This window comes from Homo sapiens, chromosome 16, assembly GCF_000001405.40.
Source record: "Homo sapiens chromosome 16, GRCh38.p14 Primary Assembly".
Taxonomy (NCBI): Eukaryota; Metazoa; Chordata; class Mammalia; order Primates; family Hominidae; genus Homo; species Homo sapiens.
In genome coordinates, this window is record NC_000016.10 from 24,966,005 (window position 1) to 24,985,561 (window position 19,557).

The 19,557-nt window shown below is 44.7% G+C and overlaps 1 protein-coding gene across 18 annotated transcripts in view; it reads right to left on the reverse strand.

Moving 5' to 3' along the window:
• Window positions 1–19,557, reverse strand: part of ARHGAP17 (Rho GTPase activating protein 17) — a 95,981-nt gene that overhangs the window by 46,616 nt on the left and 29,808 nt on the right. For all 18 annotated transcript variants that reach the window (XR_950809.3, NM_018054.6, XM_047434318.1 and 15 more), the window contains exons 2-6: window positions 12,962–13,001; window positions 11,211–11,315; window positions 4,503–4,576; window positions 2,657–2,768; window positions 2,347–2,423 (exon numbers count right to left, since the gene is read on the reverse strand). Coding sequence is in view for 17 of the 18 variants with exons in the window: in NM_018054.6 (NP_060524.4) it covers window positions 2,347–2,423; window positions 2,657–2,768; window positions 4,503–4,576; window positions 11,211–11,315; window positions 12,962–13,001 (408 nt within the window). In the remaining variant the exon portion in view is untranslated. The remainder of the gene's footprint in view (window positions 1–2,346; window positions 2,424–2,656; window positions 2,769–4,502; window positions 4,577–11,210; window positions 11,316–12,961; window positions 13,002–19,557) is intronic.

The following is a 19,557-nucleotide window of genomic DNA, read 5'->3' on the forward strand; positions in this document are numbered from 1 at the left end:
TCAGTATTAAAATCACCTATGAGATACATGCACTCAAGATGCAAAACTCCTGTCAGATAAACATCTATAATAATGCTCAACCAACTCTAGTGAGGGAGCATTTGCTGCCTTGTTTAATTAATCATTAGAATATTTTTCCTTCTCTTGAGCAAAGATGTATCGCAGGGTGGCCTGCACTCTCAGCTACACAGGATTCCAATCACACGTACAGGCCAGGTGTGATGACTCACACCTGTAATCCCAACACTGTGGGAGGTCAAGAAGAGACATTTACTTGCGGCCAGGAGTTTGAGACCAGCCTGGGCAACATACCGAGACCAGGTCTCTACTAAAAATAAAAAGCTGGGGCTGGTTGCAGTGGCTCACGCCTGTAATCCTAGCACTTTGGGAGGCTAAGGCAGGGAAATCACCTGAGATCAGGAGTTTGAGACCAGCCTGGCCAATGTGGTGAAACCCCATCTCTACTAAAAATACAAAAATTAGCCAGGTGTGGTGGCACATGCTTGTAATCCCAACTATTAAGGAGGCTGAGACAGGAGTATCGCTTGAACCCAGCACCTTGGTTGCAGTGAGCCAAGATTGTGCCACTGTACTCCAGCCTGGTTGACAGAGAGAGACTCCATCTTAAAAAAAAAAAAAATAGTAGCTGGGTGTGGTGGTGTGCAGCTACTCGAGAGGCTGAGGCAGGAGGATCCCTTGAGCCCAGGAGTTTGAGGTTGCAGTGAGCTATGATCACACCGCTGCACTCCAGCCCAGGTGACAGGGAACATCACATGTACACATGACCAGGAGACTGTGGACTTTGCTGTCAGAATCCTAACACTGCAATGTATGCTCCTGAAGGCACAAAGCAAGTCATATAGATAACAAATGCAGGTCCCTCCCTTATCTGTAAAACAAGTCTCCTCTCAAAAGTAGGGAATGTTACACTAACCTCTACCCTGTTCCCTCCAAGTCACATGGAAAGGCCTATGCATTTAGAGTCTAGCACAAAGTCTGGTGCACACTGAGCACCTAATTGATATCAGTTGAAAACACAGATGAACAAATGAACAGGGATTGCTGGGAGAATCAAATGGGCTGACATAAAATGAAAGTAGCTCGATCTCTGGCATGTGGCAAGAGGTAAGTTACTTGATAATTGCACTAGCAGAGTCTTCACCATGTGTGAATTCCTAAATATACCTTTTCTCATCTCAACATTTCTTAAATCAGGACTCATCTTCACAACTGATTTGTACACATTGTAAATAAAGTTTTATTGGAACACAGCCATGCTCATTCATGTATGCATTGCCTACAGCTGCCTTTATGCTACAACAGCAGAGTTAAGCAGTTACAACAGGGAGCAACTGGGTTGCAGCACCAGAAAGATTTACTATCCAGCCCTTTACAGAAGAGGTTTGTCAACCCTTGTGATAAAGCAGGAAACAGGACTGAGGCTGGTGGTGCCTGTTTCCCTATTCCCAACTGTCACATGCCTGAGAAGAAAGCCATGTAAGTCACTGATAGAAACTCCACTGAGGGCCAGGTACCACGGCTCATGGCTGTAATCCCAGCGCTTTGGGAGGCCAAGGTGGGAGGATCACTTGAGGCCAGAAGTTCAAGACCAGCCTGGGCAACACAGCTAGACACCATCTCCAAGCTGTGGCATGTGCCTGTAGTCCCAGCTACCTGGGATGCCGAGGCAGAAGGATCACTTGAGCCTGGGAGTCTGAGGCTGCAGTAAGCTATGATCGCACCAGCCTGGTACAGCAGAGCAAGACCTTGACTCAAAAAAAAAAAAAAAAAAAGAAAAGGAAAGAAAAAAAAGCCAAAAAACTCCATCAAGGACAAAGCAGAGGCAGCAGTCCTGCTCTGAATCCTGACAGACTCCTTCGCTGGCATCAGTCCCCACATCAGCAGCGCTGATTTGGCTACATAGGTTTACATGAGTTCCTGCCATGTGAGTGCCTCCTTCCTTGGTACTGAAGGTATTACAAGTACACAGGGTTTGTGACATGGCAGGACCCTCATGAGCTGTTAGGGCCACAGATGTGTTTATTCCTACACTCTGAGTTGTGCTCTCAAAACTGCCACCATCCCCTCTTCCGTTAAATATACTCACTTCATTTTCCTTAGATTATTTCCTTTCACTGCTGGCTCACTAAGAACAGGATGTTCTAACAACATCCCCACTGCCACGCTTGGGAGAACAAGGCCTATAGGAGGTGCTGGCAGGCTGGCACCCAGTCTGGGGGTCAAATGCACGAATTGGTGAGCACTTCCATTGTGTCCACTGTCAGTGGTCTTCTCCCCCGTGGTGGGAATGGGACACAATGCTGCATTGCTGGCTCAAGCTGTTACCTGGCTCTGACTGAATCCCAGTCTAACACCAATCTTGCAAGCTGCTTCCTCTGCTTCTGGATGTTGGGAATCTCCACCTAAAAATAAGAACATACCAAATGGGATGCACTTCAGGGCTTTTAGGTTAACCATTTTAAAGTATTTACAAACGTTTTTTCTCTAAGGCAAAGGATTTTGTACCTTCAATTGACTCCCCTTATTTCCAAAAAGAAGTGTATGTTAAAGCCAGCAACTACTGTTAAAATTTTAACACTCACTGTCCAGCCCACACCACTCTCGGCTCTTCCGTGCTGCACGGTGAAGCACCCACCTCAGCTATGCCGTACAGAGGGTCCACGATCTCCTTCTCAACAAAGACTTCGTGCTGGGAGAGCTCGAGAGCCAGCTGATTCTCAGCATCTCCACACGTCTCCAGCATCTTCCTTTAAAAACAAGACCCCCAACAACGAGCACGTGCTCATTAAATCAGGCACTGGATTATCGTGTGGATCAGTGCTGCTTGCCATACAACAGGAACGCATTAGGGTGCTACCTAACGAGCCTTGAAAATATTATAAATGTAGGGTACTGCCTAAAACATGAGTCCACAGATTTGTGCTTTAAAATAAAAATGACTGTCTCAGGGATGCACTTTGTGTGTGTGGGTGGCAGACAGATGTGTGAACAGTGAAATAACAAATTACTCAAGAATTAAATTCTCAAGTCAGGTGAAAGCCAAGTGTTCACAAAATACTCTGAAGATCTTTTAAATTAGACATTAAGTTCATTCCATGTTATCTTATGTCTGCGAGTCCAGCCTTGGCCAGGCTCCCTTTCTGCTATGCAGATGAGCTAGCTGGCTAACACTTAAGGGCCCTGTTACATAAATATCATGTTTCCTTTTAGTTTGCTTGCGAACATGCAGCTGATATCATACAAAGTACACGTGCAGTGATATAACTCCACAGTCTCTATCCCTCCCTCCTCCCTCTCTCCTTTCCTTCCCCTCCACCCCTGCAAGCTCTCTATGGGGTTTTTTTGACACCAGAAATGCACGTTGCCTGGTGTGAGGTGGCCATGGTGTCATAGTCAGGAACATGCTCTCTGGTGCCAAGCTGCCCAAGTCTGAATACAGGCTTTGCTCTTCTCCCACTGTGGGGTCTCAGGCAATTTCCCTGCCCTCTCTGTCAGTATCCTCGTCTGTAAAATGGGAGTGATGTTGTGTGTTAACATGGTTCTAAGTGCTGATATGACCTACCTCCTAGGTTGTTTTAAGGATTAAATGAGCTATTACTTGGAAAACACTTATAACCATGCTAGCACGCAGTATCACTCTGGTGTGATGAGGATGGCCATAGCATGTGGAAGCACAAACAGGAAAAACTTCCAGGCTGGAGGGAAGGAGGATGCTGGCAGGTGGGCACAGGCCACCCTCCTCCCAGGGCCCCCAAACATGGAAGCAGACAGGAGAAAGGAATGGTGACGAATGGGAGGAAACTGTTCTAGGACAGCGAGATAACTGTAGACGCTGAGAAATGGACTGAAAAGTCTGAAGGCCTCGTCCTGCTGGGAAGCAGGGCCCATGTCACAGCCAGAGAGAGCAGACAGGGCTAGAGAACACCAGCCTTGCTGCAGGAGCAGACAGAAGGGTATACCTTCCCTCCTACAATAAAAACTGCTTTGTTCTTACTTATATAAATTATTTAAAGAATACATGACAATTGTAAAAAAAAAAAAAAAATCCAAGTAATTCAGAAAATACACTCTTTTTAGATAACTACCATGGACGTTTTGGTGACCGCCTGTAAACGATGTGACTAAGAACTGAAAGGGTCTGGTCAGAGTTTCTAAATCTGAGCCAACACCTGGAACACAGAAGGGACCACATTCTTTCTGTCCAAGATTAGGGGAATAGGCATTGACCCTATCAGTTGCTTTTTTGTTAATGGCCCTTTCTGCCATCCAACTCCAGCCTGACACCTACTAAAAGGAAGATTCTCCAGCAACCTGGCGGCCTTGACCCCACTTTCTCCCAAGGAGTCTCAGCCGGTCTCCTAGCGGATGAGCCATGCCATCAACGCTCACAGTTCCTCTCACAGGTCCTACATACACCACCTGGCCCAGCCACTTCCACCAATCTACATGGCACTTGGCACTCTGAAGGCAGCAACTCTTACCCCAGGAGAGAGTCTTCCAGCTGAGTCGATGCTTCTTGCATATTTTGAGCAAGAGCTGTCAGAGGCAGTTTTTTCTGGAAGATAGAAGACAGTGTGTGTTTTTCTCATTATTTGATACCCATTCTCAATGATCTTTTTCAGATCATCATTCATTAATTTCTCCCTCCAGGCAAATTACACAGGTAGGAGACAGCCTGTCTGGGTTCAGGTTCTGGTCTCACAGATATTAGTTGTATGATGATCTCTGTTTCAGTTTGGGGCTATCTGTTGACTAAAGAAAACATATCAAGTACCTAACACATTGTAAGTATTCAGTAAATGTTAGCTGCTATTATTATTATTGCTGTTGTTGTTGTTCTGCTTATTATTATTTTTGTTTGTTTTTTTGGGACAGGGTCTGAGTCTGTCACCCAGGCTGCAATGCAGTGGCATGATCTTGACTCACTGCAGTCTCCACCTTCCAGGTTCAAGCAACTCTCCTGCCTTAGCCACTGAAGTAGGTGGGATTACAGGCCTGCATCACCACGTCCAGCTAATTTTTGTATTTTTGGTAGAGATGGGGTATGTTGACCAGGCTAATCTCAAACTCCTGAGTTCAAGTGATCTGCATGCCTCAGCCTCCCAAAGTGTTGGGATTACAGGCATGAACCATCACGCCCAGCCTGTTCATATTATTATTAATGAATCAAAGCACACTATGTTCAAGGCACTGGGGACATGACAGAGACATAGACCTTGCTCTCTAAATGGTTATCCTGACAGGTAAATGCAATGAAGTGCTCAATTTCAAAAGCTTTTGCTAGAACACTCATTCTTAAATTGGCTTTTTTTTTTTTTTTTTGAGGCAGAGTCTTGCTCTATCACCTAGGCTAGAGTGTAGTGGGGCAATCTCGGCTCACTGCAACCGCCGCCTGCCAGGTTCAAGTGATTCTCGTGCCTCAGCCTCCCCTGCTGTGATTATGGGCATGCACCACTTACACCCAGCTAATTTCTGTACTTTTAGCAGAAACAGGGTTTTGCCATGTTGGCCAGGCTTGTCTCAAACTCTTGACCTCAAGTGATCTGCCCTCCTCAGCCTCCCAAAGTTCTGGGATTGCAGGCATGAGCCACCGCACCCAGTCTAAACTGGCTCTTAATTTGGCTATCATTCTAAAATGTAGCTTTATTTAAATACCTAAAAACTTCTAGCTAAAGAGCCAGTTTTTGTAATATTTTTAAATACAAAGCCACTCATTTTCCTATCAGAGATTTGTTTTCCAGCTGGCAATGACCACAGAATCACCTGATCTAATGTTATAATCATACAGTCAAGGAACCCAAAGCCGAAGGAGGTCAAGTGGCCTGGCCAGGCATCCCAGGGAGACGCAGGAAAGTCAGACCTGAGTGCTGATGGCCCGGGCCTCTGTTCAGTGTCTTCCCTACGGGCCAATGGCTTATCTCAGGAGAGGCCTGGCAATTACAAGTGGGCTGGTTATAACGTCATAATCTGCTAACAAAAAAATGCTTTCAATTCTGCAGCATCCCATGTAATTTCACCTGCCCAGCAGAAAGGGCATTCATGTTAAAAACACAGGGTCCACCCCTGACATGTCACTTGCCTCTTCTGCCTCCAAAGGGCTCCATCTGATACAATCACATATGCACTGGCTTGTACTGGACAGAATATCTCTGCAAGGCTATACAACAAACTACTAAGAGCAGGGGCTCTGGAGGAGGGAACTGGGTGCCTGGGGAAATGGGCTAGGAGGCACTTCACTGTAAGTTCTTTTGTATATTCTGAATTTTGACCGTGTAAATGTAGAACCTATTCAAAACAGTAAGCTGAAATTTAAAAATAAACAGAGGCATTTACTCATTTCCCCTCTCCCCAAATTATTGATTTTTAAATTTTTTGTAGAGACAAGGTCTCACTATGTTGCCCAGGCTGGTCTCAAACTCCTAGTCTCAAGCAATCCTCCCACCTCGGCTTCCTACAAAATTATTTTCAAATAAATAAATAATGGGCTCCATCTGCACTACAAGGAGACTATTCCCAGCTGCCCCATTTCTGGACAAGGAAGACATGAGAATAATAGGGGATAATTCCTACCTTTTGGTTATGCTGCCTTTCTAAAGGAGGTTAAATACCTATTAAAGATCAATGCAATAATCAAGACAAATATATTGTGCAACTCTGGAACTCTAGGAGTCTATGGAAAAAAAATAATAGAAAACTCTATTTTGACAAGCATCACTCAAGATGGCAGCTGTAAATAGTTTTGTGGTTTCCCTAACCTGACCCCAAAGCCACAACAATCTTGTTTCCTATGTACATAAATAAGGAAACTCTGCTTAACATATGGGCTCATTAATCAAGTATCAACACTGAACTCCTCCACAGGGAGGGCTTCGTGCTTCCTAGAGGTGAACAGCTTTCTATCATCAGGGATAATTTTTTTTTTTTTTTAAGACAGGGTCTGGCTCTGTTGCCCAGGCTGGAGGTCAGTGACGCGATCTCAGCTCACTGCAACCCACTTCCGGGGTTTTGCCATGTTGCACAGGCTGGTATCGACTCCTGAGCTCAAGCAATCCACCCACCTTGGCCTCCCAAAGTGCTGAGATTACAGGAGTGCAGCACCATGCCTGGCCAGGGATGAATTTTAAATGCTCTAAAGACTTAATTTGTAAAATGCATGCCAATCGCACAAAAAGAAATAATTCTCTAATCTAATAATCTATCTTATCTGACCCACGACAGTTCTGCCATGTCAATGGTGGCTGGGCTGCAAAGGTCACCTGCCTCATGTCTCTCTCTTCCCTTCTATTCTTGCCTCTTCCCATGCAGGAAGCATGTTATGAGGCCTTTGGGAGGTTCCTCCTGTGTTTTCTAGAGCCCTGGAGACTGCTGCAATTTTCTCCATATTAGTCTTCTCTCACCATTGTTGTGGTAACTCCTCTTCCCAAGTGCAAAGTGTAGGCATCCTCAAAGCCCTGTCTTTGGCACTTTCGTTTGACGTTGGAAAAGGAAAGCTAAAGCATTAGGTTTCAGAAATGAGGGCCAAGCACTTTGCCCCAGCTGCCTGGAATATTCCCACCACCTGCCACTAATTTCCCTCCTTTATAGGGCAGACACCACCTCCTCCAGGAAGCCTCACCTAACTACCTCCCTCTTCCTCTGGTACCCATTCTGGGCCCCCCATAAAACCCTGTGCATGTTTTATTGAGCATCTTGTTTTATAATGATCCATTTGTATGTATCTCCCCCATGAGACCATGAAAACTTACATTTCATTCATTTTATATCTCCAGCACTTGTACACAGTAGGTGTTTGATAAATATTTGTTTCTATTGAATATATGTCTTGGACTGCGTCTCAAGGAAGACAACAGGAACTAGATAGAACTGTGAGGGACAGTGACATATTTGGGGACTGGTGAGTGTTATGTGGCTGGCACAGGGTGTGAACGGGAAGCAGCAGGAGACAATGAAGCTGATAAGGAGAAATGGAATCAGCTGAGAAAGGGCTTAAGTCATCTAAAGAGTGTGGACTTTATCCCAGGCAATGGGAACCAGCCAGTGTCCCTCAGAAGAAGCACTTCTAACATTAAGATACTTCCTGTGTGGAACTATTTCACCAGGCACTACAAAACATTTAGCATCTTGGCCAGGCACGGAGGCTCACGCCTATAACCCCAGCACTTCGGGAGGCCGAGGAGGGAGGATCACTTGAGGTCAGGAGTTGGAAACCAGCCTGGTCAACATGGTGAAATCCTGTCTCTACTAAAAATACAAAAATTAGCCAGGCTTGGTGGCGTGCACCTGTAGTCCCAGCTACTCGGGAGGCTGAGGTGGGAGAATCGTTTGAACCGGGTGGTGGAGGATGCAGTGAGCCGGGATCAACCACTGCGCTCCAGCCTGGGCGACACAGCAAGATTCCATCTCAAAAAACAAACAAACAAACAAAAAATGCTTAGCATCTCGGTTCACCCTCCAAATGCCAGTGGTGCCTGCCAGTCCCTGTGATGACCGAACTGTCTCTACACATTTCCATATGCCCCCAGGGGTGTAATTCTGGTCCCTGTTAAGAACCACTGAGCCAAGATTTTTTTTTTTAGGCAGGAGGATAATAGGGTTGATTTGTGTTTCAGGAAATTGACTCTGGTGATCAGGTTGAAGACAGACTGGAAAGGAAATTACAGACAGGAAATGTAGCTCAGGAGGTGACTACAACAGTCCAGGTGAGAGGGAGTCAGGTCTTGCATTAAGGCCAAGGTGGTAGAGATGCAATGGAGATGAGCAATTTAAAATATTCACAGAGAGAAATCAAAGGACTTTCTAATTAGGCAGTTATGGGGTTTGGAGGATAAAATAAAAGCGAGGCCCAGCACAGTAGCTCATGCCTGTAATCCCAACACTTTGAGAGGCCAAGGCGGGAGAACTGCTTGAGCCCAGGAGTTCAAGACCAGCCTGGGCAACAGATGAGACCTCATCTCTACTACGAAAAAAACAAACAAACAATTAGCCAGGCTTGGTGGCGCAAGCCTGTAGTCCCAGCTACTTAAAGGTTGAGGTCGAAGGATGGCTTGAGCCCAGGAGGTTAATGTTGCAATGGGCCGGGATCGTGCCACTACACTCCAGCACGGACAACAGAGTGAGACCCTGTCTTGAAAATAAAAAATAACAAGGAATATAAGAAAGCCCCCCAGTTTCCAGCCTGCATAAAAGGGTGGATGGAATTCAGAGAGTCAACACAGAAGGAAGAACTGATCATGCATGCTAGAATAGACATCTAAGAGAGGAAGTTTTTTGCTTGGTTGAAAATGGCTTAGAAGTCACTGGCATAAACACATCAGTTAGAAGCCATAAGAACAGAGGAGGTGGCCCAGAGAATATGACTTGGAGAATAAGAGAAGCAGAGAACTTAATGAAACAATGTGAAAAGGGTAAGCAGAGCAGAAGAAGGCAACAGAAGGACAAGGAGCTCCAGGAAGCAGAACCAGTAGGCTGGGTCTGGTTCCGAGGGACAGAGCTTTGAGGCAAGTGTGGAAGCATAGGTGTATGCAAACTTCCATTCCTATGACAGACATGATTGCAGAATCCTCACTGTTGTGCAAGAGTGGAAAAACCCTGCTGCCAGGGTGCCCCATAAAAGTCTGTAGGAAACATAAAAGGGTAACACAGATCATCTGCATACTATTAATAGTTCTCACTTTTGAGACACCTGGTGACAATACACCAAATCATAGCTTCCCTGTGTGTCACCGAAACTGTCACTTCAATGTTGCATGGGGTCTAAGGTTTACCGCATGCTCATAAGCTGGGGACTTGTAAAAGCAAGGATGGAACTCCCTCATGAACAAAGGCTGCTGTGCTCCACTGGCTCTACCTAGGAACTGAACGCTCTGAACAAGTGGACCTTGGAAAAGACACCGGATGGCTCTCCTAGAGTCCATCCCTCTTCCTCTCTATACTAGTATCCTGATTTTTCTCAGGGATCTACCCTGGCCTTGATAAAGTCTATGAGCTAGGAGTAGGACCACAGCCCATGCTCTAGGTCTGGGCCAAACTAACTTAAACCAATCGGCACATCCCATCTCCTCACCCCACCTCACCCCCTATCCATGGTAACTAGGGTGGAACAGAAACAGTCAAAAACGGGGAATGTAACTCCACACAAATCAATGCAATGGAACGCGCTTTCAATCTGCCAAGAGCTTGGAAAAAGCAGCTTTCTCACTCCATCAAGAAAAACTACTGGGGCCAAGTATGGTGGCTCATGCCTGTAATTCCAGCACTTTGGAAGGCCCAGGTGGGAGGACTGCTTGAGGCCAGGAGTTCTACATCAGCCTAGGTAACAAAGCAAGATCCCCATCTCTACAAAAAAATTTAAAAAATTAGCCAGGCATGGTGGTGTGTACTGTGGTCTCAGCTGCTTGGGAGACTGAAGCAGGAGGATCTCTTGAGCCCAGGAGTTTGAGGCTGCAGTGAGCTGTGACTGTACTACCACACTACAGCCTGGGTCATGGAGTGAGACCCTGTCAGGAAAGAAAAGAAAAGAAAGAGAAGAGAAGGGAAAGGAAAGGGGAAAGGGGAAAGGGAAGGGAAGCAAAAAGAAAAGAAAAAAGAAAAAGAGGCGAGAGGGGAGGGGAGGGGAACTACTGGGAGAGAGGCTCTCTACTCCCACTGGCCACACTCAAGGAACAAGCAGCCCATAGAAGCTGCCAATAGCCAACTTGCCATCATGAGGATGCCTGTCTAGGGACAAAGCAGACACTGAGGGCACAGGAGAGAGAAGGAAAGAAACTGGGTTTTTCATTACATTACTAAAATGTTAGATAAACCCTGACCTCAAGTCCATCCCAACCTCTGGACTTTTCAGTTAGCAAACCAATACATTACTTCTACTTCAATGTCAATTTAAGACAGGCTTTCCGCTTTCTGCCAGCAAAAGATGCATAACCGACACAGCCATTCTCTTATCAATGACACATGATCGTGGAGCTTTTAAAAGCACCTGGAGAAGATTCCGTGTAAGGAGGGCTTCCAGCCCAGCGATGTCTTAAACACAAAAGAATGCTATGGTCACGCAGGTGTCATGAGCGTGCTTGGTGATAGAAGTCACCAAAGGCTGATCCACTGATGCCACTTAGGACAACCAACCAATCCAGGGGTTGAAAAGCCTCAGAGAGACGCAGGAACTGTGGGTCTGAGTCACATCTGATACTCACGTGTCTCCTCTCGGCATCGGTGCCATGCTGGCCCTGGAAACATGCCACCAAGCGCTTATGGGAATGGTGGCATATTGACCGCACCGTGTCCAGGCGTCTCTCAATCTGACAAGGCAGAGACAAAAGAGAACAAATTCATCCTCTTTCTTTTGTGGTGTCTGCATGCTGGTAGGAAAAGCATGGCTGAATCTACATGCAGGGAAAAGGGATGATCTTGGCTACACCTTGCTATCACACTGAGTGGCGCCAGTCAGTTTACACACTACAGCACCAGAAAAGCACCAGGTTGGACCAGGCAGAAATGAAAATGAATGATCCGGGCCCAGACCCACTGCCAACTGGAAAAAACCAGAGATGCCAAAGAGCTCTCTCCAGTTCATGGCAACTGAGCCTTCCACACAATGTACATCAGACAGAAGCAGCAAAATAAACGTTCCACAATTTAACTGCAAGATCTGTGTTTTCAAAATTATTCCTTATTGGGTTTGGGGTGTGTGTGTGTGTGTTTTAAATAAACCTCTAAAGCAGAATGGACAGTCAGCAATAAGAAACACTGACTTAGGGGACCCACGCATCATAAGCAGCTTCCCAAAATACTATTGCTAGAATATGGCTGTTTATGGCAAAGAGAGCCGCTTTTTACAGGAAGGAATGCCAAAAATGTGTATTCTGATGACTCATGAAGAATGAGAGCAGGCCCTTTGGGATGCTTTCTATTTTAAAGATAAATCAACAAATTCAAAACAGAATACATTTGACCCCAAACCATTTTACGCATCGAGATGGTCTGTGCCTCTTTCTCAAAAGGGCAGCGTTTCTTCAGATCCAAGCCCATAGCCCCAGGACTCAGGGCTGGCAGGCAATGGGAGATTTAGGAGCAGATTCCACATTACCTTCCCCAAATCTTGCAATGACCAGATTTTCAAACATTAGAAAACTAATCCACATTCATTTGCCACCAGAGAAAAGCAAAAAATGAACAAATTCCATGATTTAATTTTGATTCCAATTTCCACTAGAATGTAAACTCCACAAGGACAGAAGCCTGGATCTGTTTTGTTCACTGATTTCTCCCAGTGCCTGGGACGTTATCTTTCACAGAAACAGAAGGTGCTCATTTAATATTCGTTGAGAGGGCCCATGTCTACTGAGTTCCTGTGCAAGGTATTCAAGAATCAACAGCAAATAAATGCTGGTTCTGCCCCGCTGGGATGCACAGCCCCCTGGGGAAATGCCACACAACTGCTCTAACAGAGACTGAAAAAAAGGCAGAAGAACACAGGGCAAATCAAGGGATGTTTCACGTCAGAAACAGACAGTCTCTGTGGCTTGCAGTGGCAGTAATAATAATAGATCACTAATATCTAGCACTTACCACGTGCCAGGCTCCGTTCCCAGTGCTGTTCCTGCTTAACTCATTAAACCCTCCTAACAACCTGTGAGGTGGATAAGGCCTTTCCCTCAGTTTAGAGAAGTGGAAACTGAGGCGCAGGGAAGTTCAGTAAATCCCTGAGGCCACAAAGCTAACCAGCGCAGACGTGAGATTCGAACCCAGGTAGCTGGGTTTCAGATCCCCTTTTCATCATCATGCAACAAAACTGTTTTCTTTCCTGCTCAAAATCACACTAATTAATTTTATTCTGTTTCTGGTTAAAAAAAAAAAAAAAAAAAGCCCACAGGCCTCAATTCTCACATAGGAATTTTTTTCCATCCTTTAAACAGATCATTTAAAGGAGACTATATTTTGTTACCTGTAATAGATCTTCACTAAGGACTTCTGTTTTCTCAGCTCTGTGGGAAAAATTAAAAATTCAGAGTTAGAAATCCAAAAATGAAAGGCAACTCCTAAAATTTAATAATTATTAGCCTGGAGTTTAAAGCAAAACAGGCAGAAATAAATTTAGAAGGGTTGGCAGGGGCAGTTTACCAATTTTTACATCAGAGAGCAATTTAAGCAAAACCAAAGAAAAATAACTAAGCAAAACTTTGTGGGGAATAGCAGCCCAAAACAAGAACAAATGATCCTGAGTAGTGGTTCTCAAATTTGAGCAGGCACAGAATCACCAAGGGCAGCAGGTGCTGATATAAAATGCCATTTCCCAGGTCCCTCTGGATATTCTATTCTAATTCAATAGACCCTGCATTTTTAACAGCCACTCCTTGCTCAGAATTCCATTGCAGGAGGTCTAGAGACATGGCTTTGAGAAAACACTGTTCTACAGAAGCTTAAACTTCAGTTCACAACCAGAAACGTTATGCAAAGATGCAAGCCTAGACCACCACACACAATAACAATTAGTTCCTCCTTCAAATTTCCTCTCCATCCTTACTTTGAAAAGAAACTAAGTGTTTCCACAACTTTCTCTGCTATGCTTTGAACTACTACTAATTTCATCAACCCTTCCATTAAACCAACACGGTGGCCAGCAATCAGAAGGGGGCATTCCGAGCTGGCGGAGTCTCAACTGTCAGACCATAATAATTTTTATTTTATTATTATTATTATTATTATTTGAGACAGAGTCTCATTCTGTTGCCCAGACTGGACTGCAGTGGTGTGATCTCAGCTCACTGCAACCTCCACCTCCCGGATTCAAGCGATTCTCGTGCCTTAGCCTCCCGAGTAGCTGGAATTATAGGCACGTGCCACTTCGCCCAGCTAATTTTTGTATTTTTAGAAGAGACAGGGTTTTGCCATGTTGGCCAGGCTGGTCCCGAACTCCTGACCTCAAGTAATCCGCCCACCTTGGCCTCCCAAAGTGCTGGGATTACATGCGTGAGCCACCGCGCCTGGCGTGAAGGAAATTTTTAAAAGAGAAAGAAAAAGTATGTTTCAGCTCTGAACAGTGAAGGGAGTCAGGGGAAGGCTGTCAATGAACCGGAAATTCAGAACAGGGATTGTATGATCTTGGCCGGGAACCAATGCAAGAGCAGGAAAAGCTCTTGGGCCAGAAAGTAAATGAGACCCCTAGAATGACCTCGAAATGCTGCTAAGCTCAGAGTAGTGCCAACTGTGGGCAAGGGAAAGAAGCGCACAGCTCCTCCAGTCTACACTTAAGGCAATGGCACGTTAGCCAGAACAGGGCATTGCCATGGGGGATTCTAACACTTGTCATCATGGCACTGTCCCAGTCAACCTGGAGATGCCTACAGGGTGGCTCACTCACCAGTTTCTGCAGGAAACTGGAATGCTGACCTGACTCAAATACTTCCCAGGGCCAGAGGATCAGGGCCTAGAGACAAAGCCAAGGCCCCAGCTTCCAGAGGCAGCCAATTTTCAACTCTATGAAAAGGTTCCACCAGCAACAGGCCAACATATGCTACCCTAGACCTTGCTTGGCAAGCAAGGTGCCAGGCATTGCTGAAGAGCCAAACACAGGTAGTCATACCAGTTAGGGAAGGGAAGCAGGGCCCCAGCTGACCATGAGGTCAAAGAACCAGACTCAAAAAGAAACCTGACAGTCAGCCTAGCAAGAACACACCTGGCATGAGATCGTCATAGTTTCACCATTAGACGCCCCCATTCCTCTCGCCAATGCCTCATCCCTCCTTTAGCAAAATGCCACCAGGGAATGGGTAACTTTTGCCTTTCTTCCCTAGCCAAAACCCCCAAATCTGGACAGGGCCCTGTATACCTCTCACAGAATCCACCTCAACTCTAAAATGACTTCCTTCTGTAAGTACGAGTATACACAGAGAAGTCTCAAGGCCTATTAAAATTTTCACAAGTTCAAAAAAAGAGATTCAACCTGAGAATCAGAACAAATATGTCCTTTTTCAGAGCAAATTATTTTTTAAAAAATAACAGAAGAAGAGAAGAACTTGCTCTACAATCCCAATGTGGGCTATAAGCAGATGTGGGAAAGTTAGTAATAGCTCAGAGGTATGCTAGAGCCAACTCAGACCAACCAACCATGTGCATCTTCTCCCAACTCCTTGCTCAGTAACCTCACACTGGTACTTGAAATCAAAAACATAAACAACTGCAAACAATTCAAATAGGAGCTTGGCAGTTGTTAAACAGTTATGAGCACAGTGCTGCAACAGCCACAAAGAAAATAAAGCAAACATAAAAACGAGGCAAGTATTAACTTCAGGAAAAACAAAAAGTCCACTGGAAACATAAAGATAGTCATAGTAACTAGTATGCTCAGCTGCAAATAATTGATTGGACATAATATAAATATCAAATAGTAATACAATGAAAAATTATAACTGTATTGAAAGGATGGGGGGAGCAGAAGCAGAGGGAAAGGGCCCTAAACCCTCATTTATCAGAACAGAAAGTCAACAGACAGTAACTAATTTGATAACCCAAACGATAGTTTACACATATTACTTATAATTATGAATATGAATAAATGTCACAATAAACTGTTAATATTTCAAAGTAGTTGCTTCTGGAGTTGGGAAATCTCAGAGAGTAGGGAGTGAACCCACCGTATTTTGTGGTAAGTCTTTTACTATATTATTTGACTTTTTAAACTACATGAATCACAGTTTTGAGGTTTTTTAAAAATAGCATGTTACTTACACTTTTAAGTAGCATGCTTGATTGATATGGCCAGGGGTGAAGTGTGCCTAACTTAAAGAATTGGTCCAATGTCAAGCTCTACAAATGCACAACAGAAAACATACCTCAGAGTATCTAAAATGTAAAGAAAATCAGTGTATTTCCAGCCATTTTTTTCAAATTAACTGGACCCTCTGCTTTAGAGGTACTTTACATGAAAAGGTCTGGAGGCTGAAAACTATATTGAATATATTATATGAAAATGTTAATGTACTGTTTAAAAAGAAATTTCCCCTTTGTTTCCTGTGTTTGTGGAGGCTATATATATATTACATTAATAAAATCAATTTTAGATTTGCAGGCTTAGATTTTTTTTTTTTAAATCAATTTTAGAGGTTGGGGGTGGTGGCTCACGCCTATAATCCCAGCACTTTGGGAAGCCAAGGTGGGTGGATCACTTGAGGTCAGAAGTTCAAGACCAGCCTGGTCAACATGGCAAAACCTCATCTCTACTAAAAATACAAAAATTAGCCAGATGTGGTGCCACACACCTGTAGTCCCAGCTACCTGGGAGGTTGAGGCACGAGAATTGCTTGAACCTGGGAGGCGGAGGTTGCAGTGAGCCAAGATCGTGCCACTGCACTCCAGACTAGGCAACAGAGCAAGACTCTGTCTCAAAAAAACAAAAAAAAAATGTGTAGAAAAAAATCCAAACCCAACTAGAGATTAAAAGTGATCTATAATTGGGAAGAATTACTTTTAAGTGACAAATCATGACTATGGAGTATAATACACAAACTGGAATGGCTCCCTCACACAAAGATTCTTTGCTGGCCTGTGGACTCTCCATCTTAATTTTCAGGCCTTGGTACTGTCTCCATCTATTCCAATAATGTGGTCCAAATGACCTGATCTCCCTCATCACTGTGACTGGTCCAAGCCTTGGTGCTTCCTATCGTGAACTGTTTTGCAGTGTTCACCTTTACCAGAGATATGGAAAGTCCAGCAATTATTCCACTATCGGCCAAGGTGCCCATTCAATAGGCCATTCAATAGGCCATGTACGTAGGCCACAGAAATGTGCTGGTTTTTTCTGAGAAGTGTTATCTTTGGTTGAGTTTTTGTAATTTATTAAAGCAAGGCAGGGGGCAAGAGACTGAATTCGTCAAGACATCTATAGACAAAAAAAAAACAGTAGACAAAGTGATCCAATCATAAAAAATAATACTTGATAAATCATATATATATATATATATATATATATATATATTTTTTTTTTTTTTTTTTTTTTTTTTGAGACAGGGTCTCGTTCTGTCACCCAGGCTGGAGTGCAGTGCCACAATCTCAGATCACTGCAATCTCTGCTTCTTGGGCTCTAGTGATACTCCCACCTCAGCCTACCAGGTAGCTGAGACTACAGGCATACACCACCACGCTCAGCTAATTTTTCTATTTTTAGTAGAGACAGGGTTTCACCATGTTGGCCAGGCTGGTCTCAAATTCCTGAGCTCAAGCGATCTGGCTGCCTTGGTCTCCCAGAGTGCTGGGATTATAGGCATGAGCCACCGTACGCGGCCAGATTTTTTTTTTTTTAAGACAAGGTTTTGCTCTACCTCCCATGCTGAGTGCAGTGGCCTGATCACAGCTCACAGCAGCCTTGAACTCCTAGGTTCAAGCTATCCTCCCACCTCAGCCTTCCAAGTAGCTGGGACGAGAGATGCGCACCATCATGCCCAGGTAATTTTTAAAATTTTTTTTATAGAGATGGATTCTCACTACATTGCCCAGGCTGGTCTCAAACTCCTGAGCTCAAGCCATCCTCCCGCCTCCAACTCCCAAAGTGCTAGGCGTGAGCCACTGCGCCCAGCCTAGATTGTTTTGAATCAGACATTTTGCTCCATGTTCCTAAACTTTTTGTATATGGGTTTTTTCTGCTTTGTCAGAGCCTTCTTTGTGTCCAACGTTCTGGGCTTGAAAACACACTTGAATGTTTCCTGTCTGCAACTGGAAAAACAATACGAATCAGGAAGGAACTTCCCACTCGCCATTTTACTCTGGGGTTTGTTTTTTCCTATGAAGCTATTCTGCAATTTTACTAGTCACTCAAGCAAGGCTGATACCAGGCAGGATCTTTAATTTACTTTTTGGTAAAGCACAGATTTTCTCCTCGTAATTCTCAAAGCAGCAGTGCTGCCCAGGCCTTCATAGTGCCACTTTCCCTTGACCTGGTGTGGCAATGTCCAACCCTGCAGTGTGGCTAATAGGATGTTTCACTGAGCTCACTTGCCAGGCAAGGAGAAAACAGAAATGTTTTCAATCTGGAGTAGTTCACTGTACCAAAAAGACAGAAGATGCTCAGACCAGGTGAGAGTCAAAGGAAAATTTCCAATTGGTCTGATATTTTCCATCTCTAATCATGGATTTCTGGTAGTTTCCTTCATAAAACATGTACTATGGGAGCCAGGGACTCCCAAACCATGGACACGAATGCTCAAGTCCCCGCGATCAATGCAGGCTGTGGTCTTCCAAACAATGAGCACTACCGTCCTCCTCCCTGCTAGACAGCAGGTTCCATGAGGGCAGAGAGAGAGCTCTAAAGTCATCACTCCTCCCCAGCGGCAAGCTCAGCACCTTCCTGCCACTTAAATACATACTGAGGCCGGGCGCAGTGGCTCACGCCTGTAATCCCAGCAGTTTGGGAAGCCAAGGCAGGCGGATCACGAGGTCAGGAGATCGAGACCACGGTGAAACCCCGTCTCTACTAAAAATACAAAAAAAAAATTAGCCAGGCAGTGGCAGGCACCTGTAGTCCCAGCTACTCGGGAGGCTGAGGCAGGAGAATGGTGTGATCCCGGGAGGCGGAGTTTGCAGTGAGCTGAGATTGAAATTGCGCCACTGCACTCCAGCCTGGGCGACAGAGCAAGACTCCGTCTCAAAAAAAAAAAAGAAATACACACTGAATGAATGAATGGATGTCTATCACATCTTTGGGAAAAAGGACATTCACAATGTCAAACAAAATCCAATAAAACTAGGTTGAAAAGCAGCCATAGGTGTATAGAACTGCCTTCCACAGTAAAATCCATAATGACTAAAATTGAAATGTGATATTACCTTTCAAGGTTAATCTTTTTATAAAATGGGAAAAAAAACCACAGTTGAAAATAAAAAAAAAATGTCTGTAGGGGGAGGCAAAATCCAGTTTTAAAAATTTTATGTTAAAAGAGGAGTGAAAGCCATTCCTCCAATCCCATATCCCAAAGGGTACTGTTACGAATTTGTTATATATCCTTCCCAATTTGTTTTCTAAATTTAAACTAGTGCTTCTCAACTGGAGGCAACTGTGTCCCCAGAGGACATTTGGCAATGTCTGGGGACATTTGTGGTTGTCATGATGGGAGATGCTACTGGTCTCTGTAGGCTAGAGGCCAGGATGCTACTGACTATCCTAAATGCAACCCCACACACACACACACACACTAAATAATATAAAGAATTATGAACAAGGAATGATCCAGCCCTGGATTTGTTTCCTATTGCTGCTGTAACAAATCACCACAAACTCAGTGGCTTGAACAACACAAGTATATTATATCACACTTCTTGAGTTCAGCACTTCCAACCAGGTCTCCCTGGACTACGATCAAGGTGGCAGCAGGGCTGAATGCCTTCCTGGACATGCAAGGGGAGCATCTGCTTCCTCGCCCTTTCCAGCTTCTTGAGTCTACCGCATTCCTTGGCCTCCTCCTGCACTGTCAAAGCCAGTATGGTTCACTCTGGGCCTCTCTGCCACAGTCACCTCTTCCTCTGACTCTGCGACCTCCCTCTTCCACT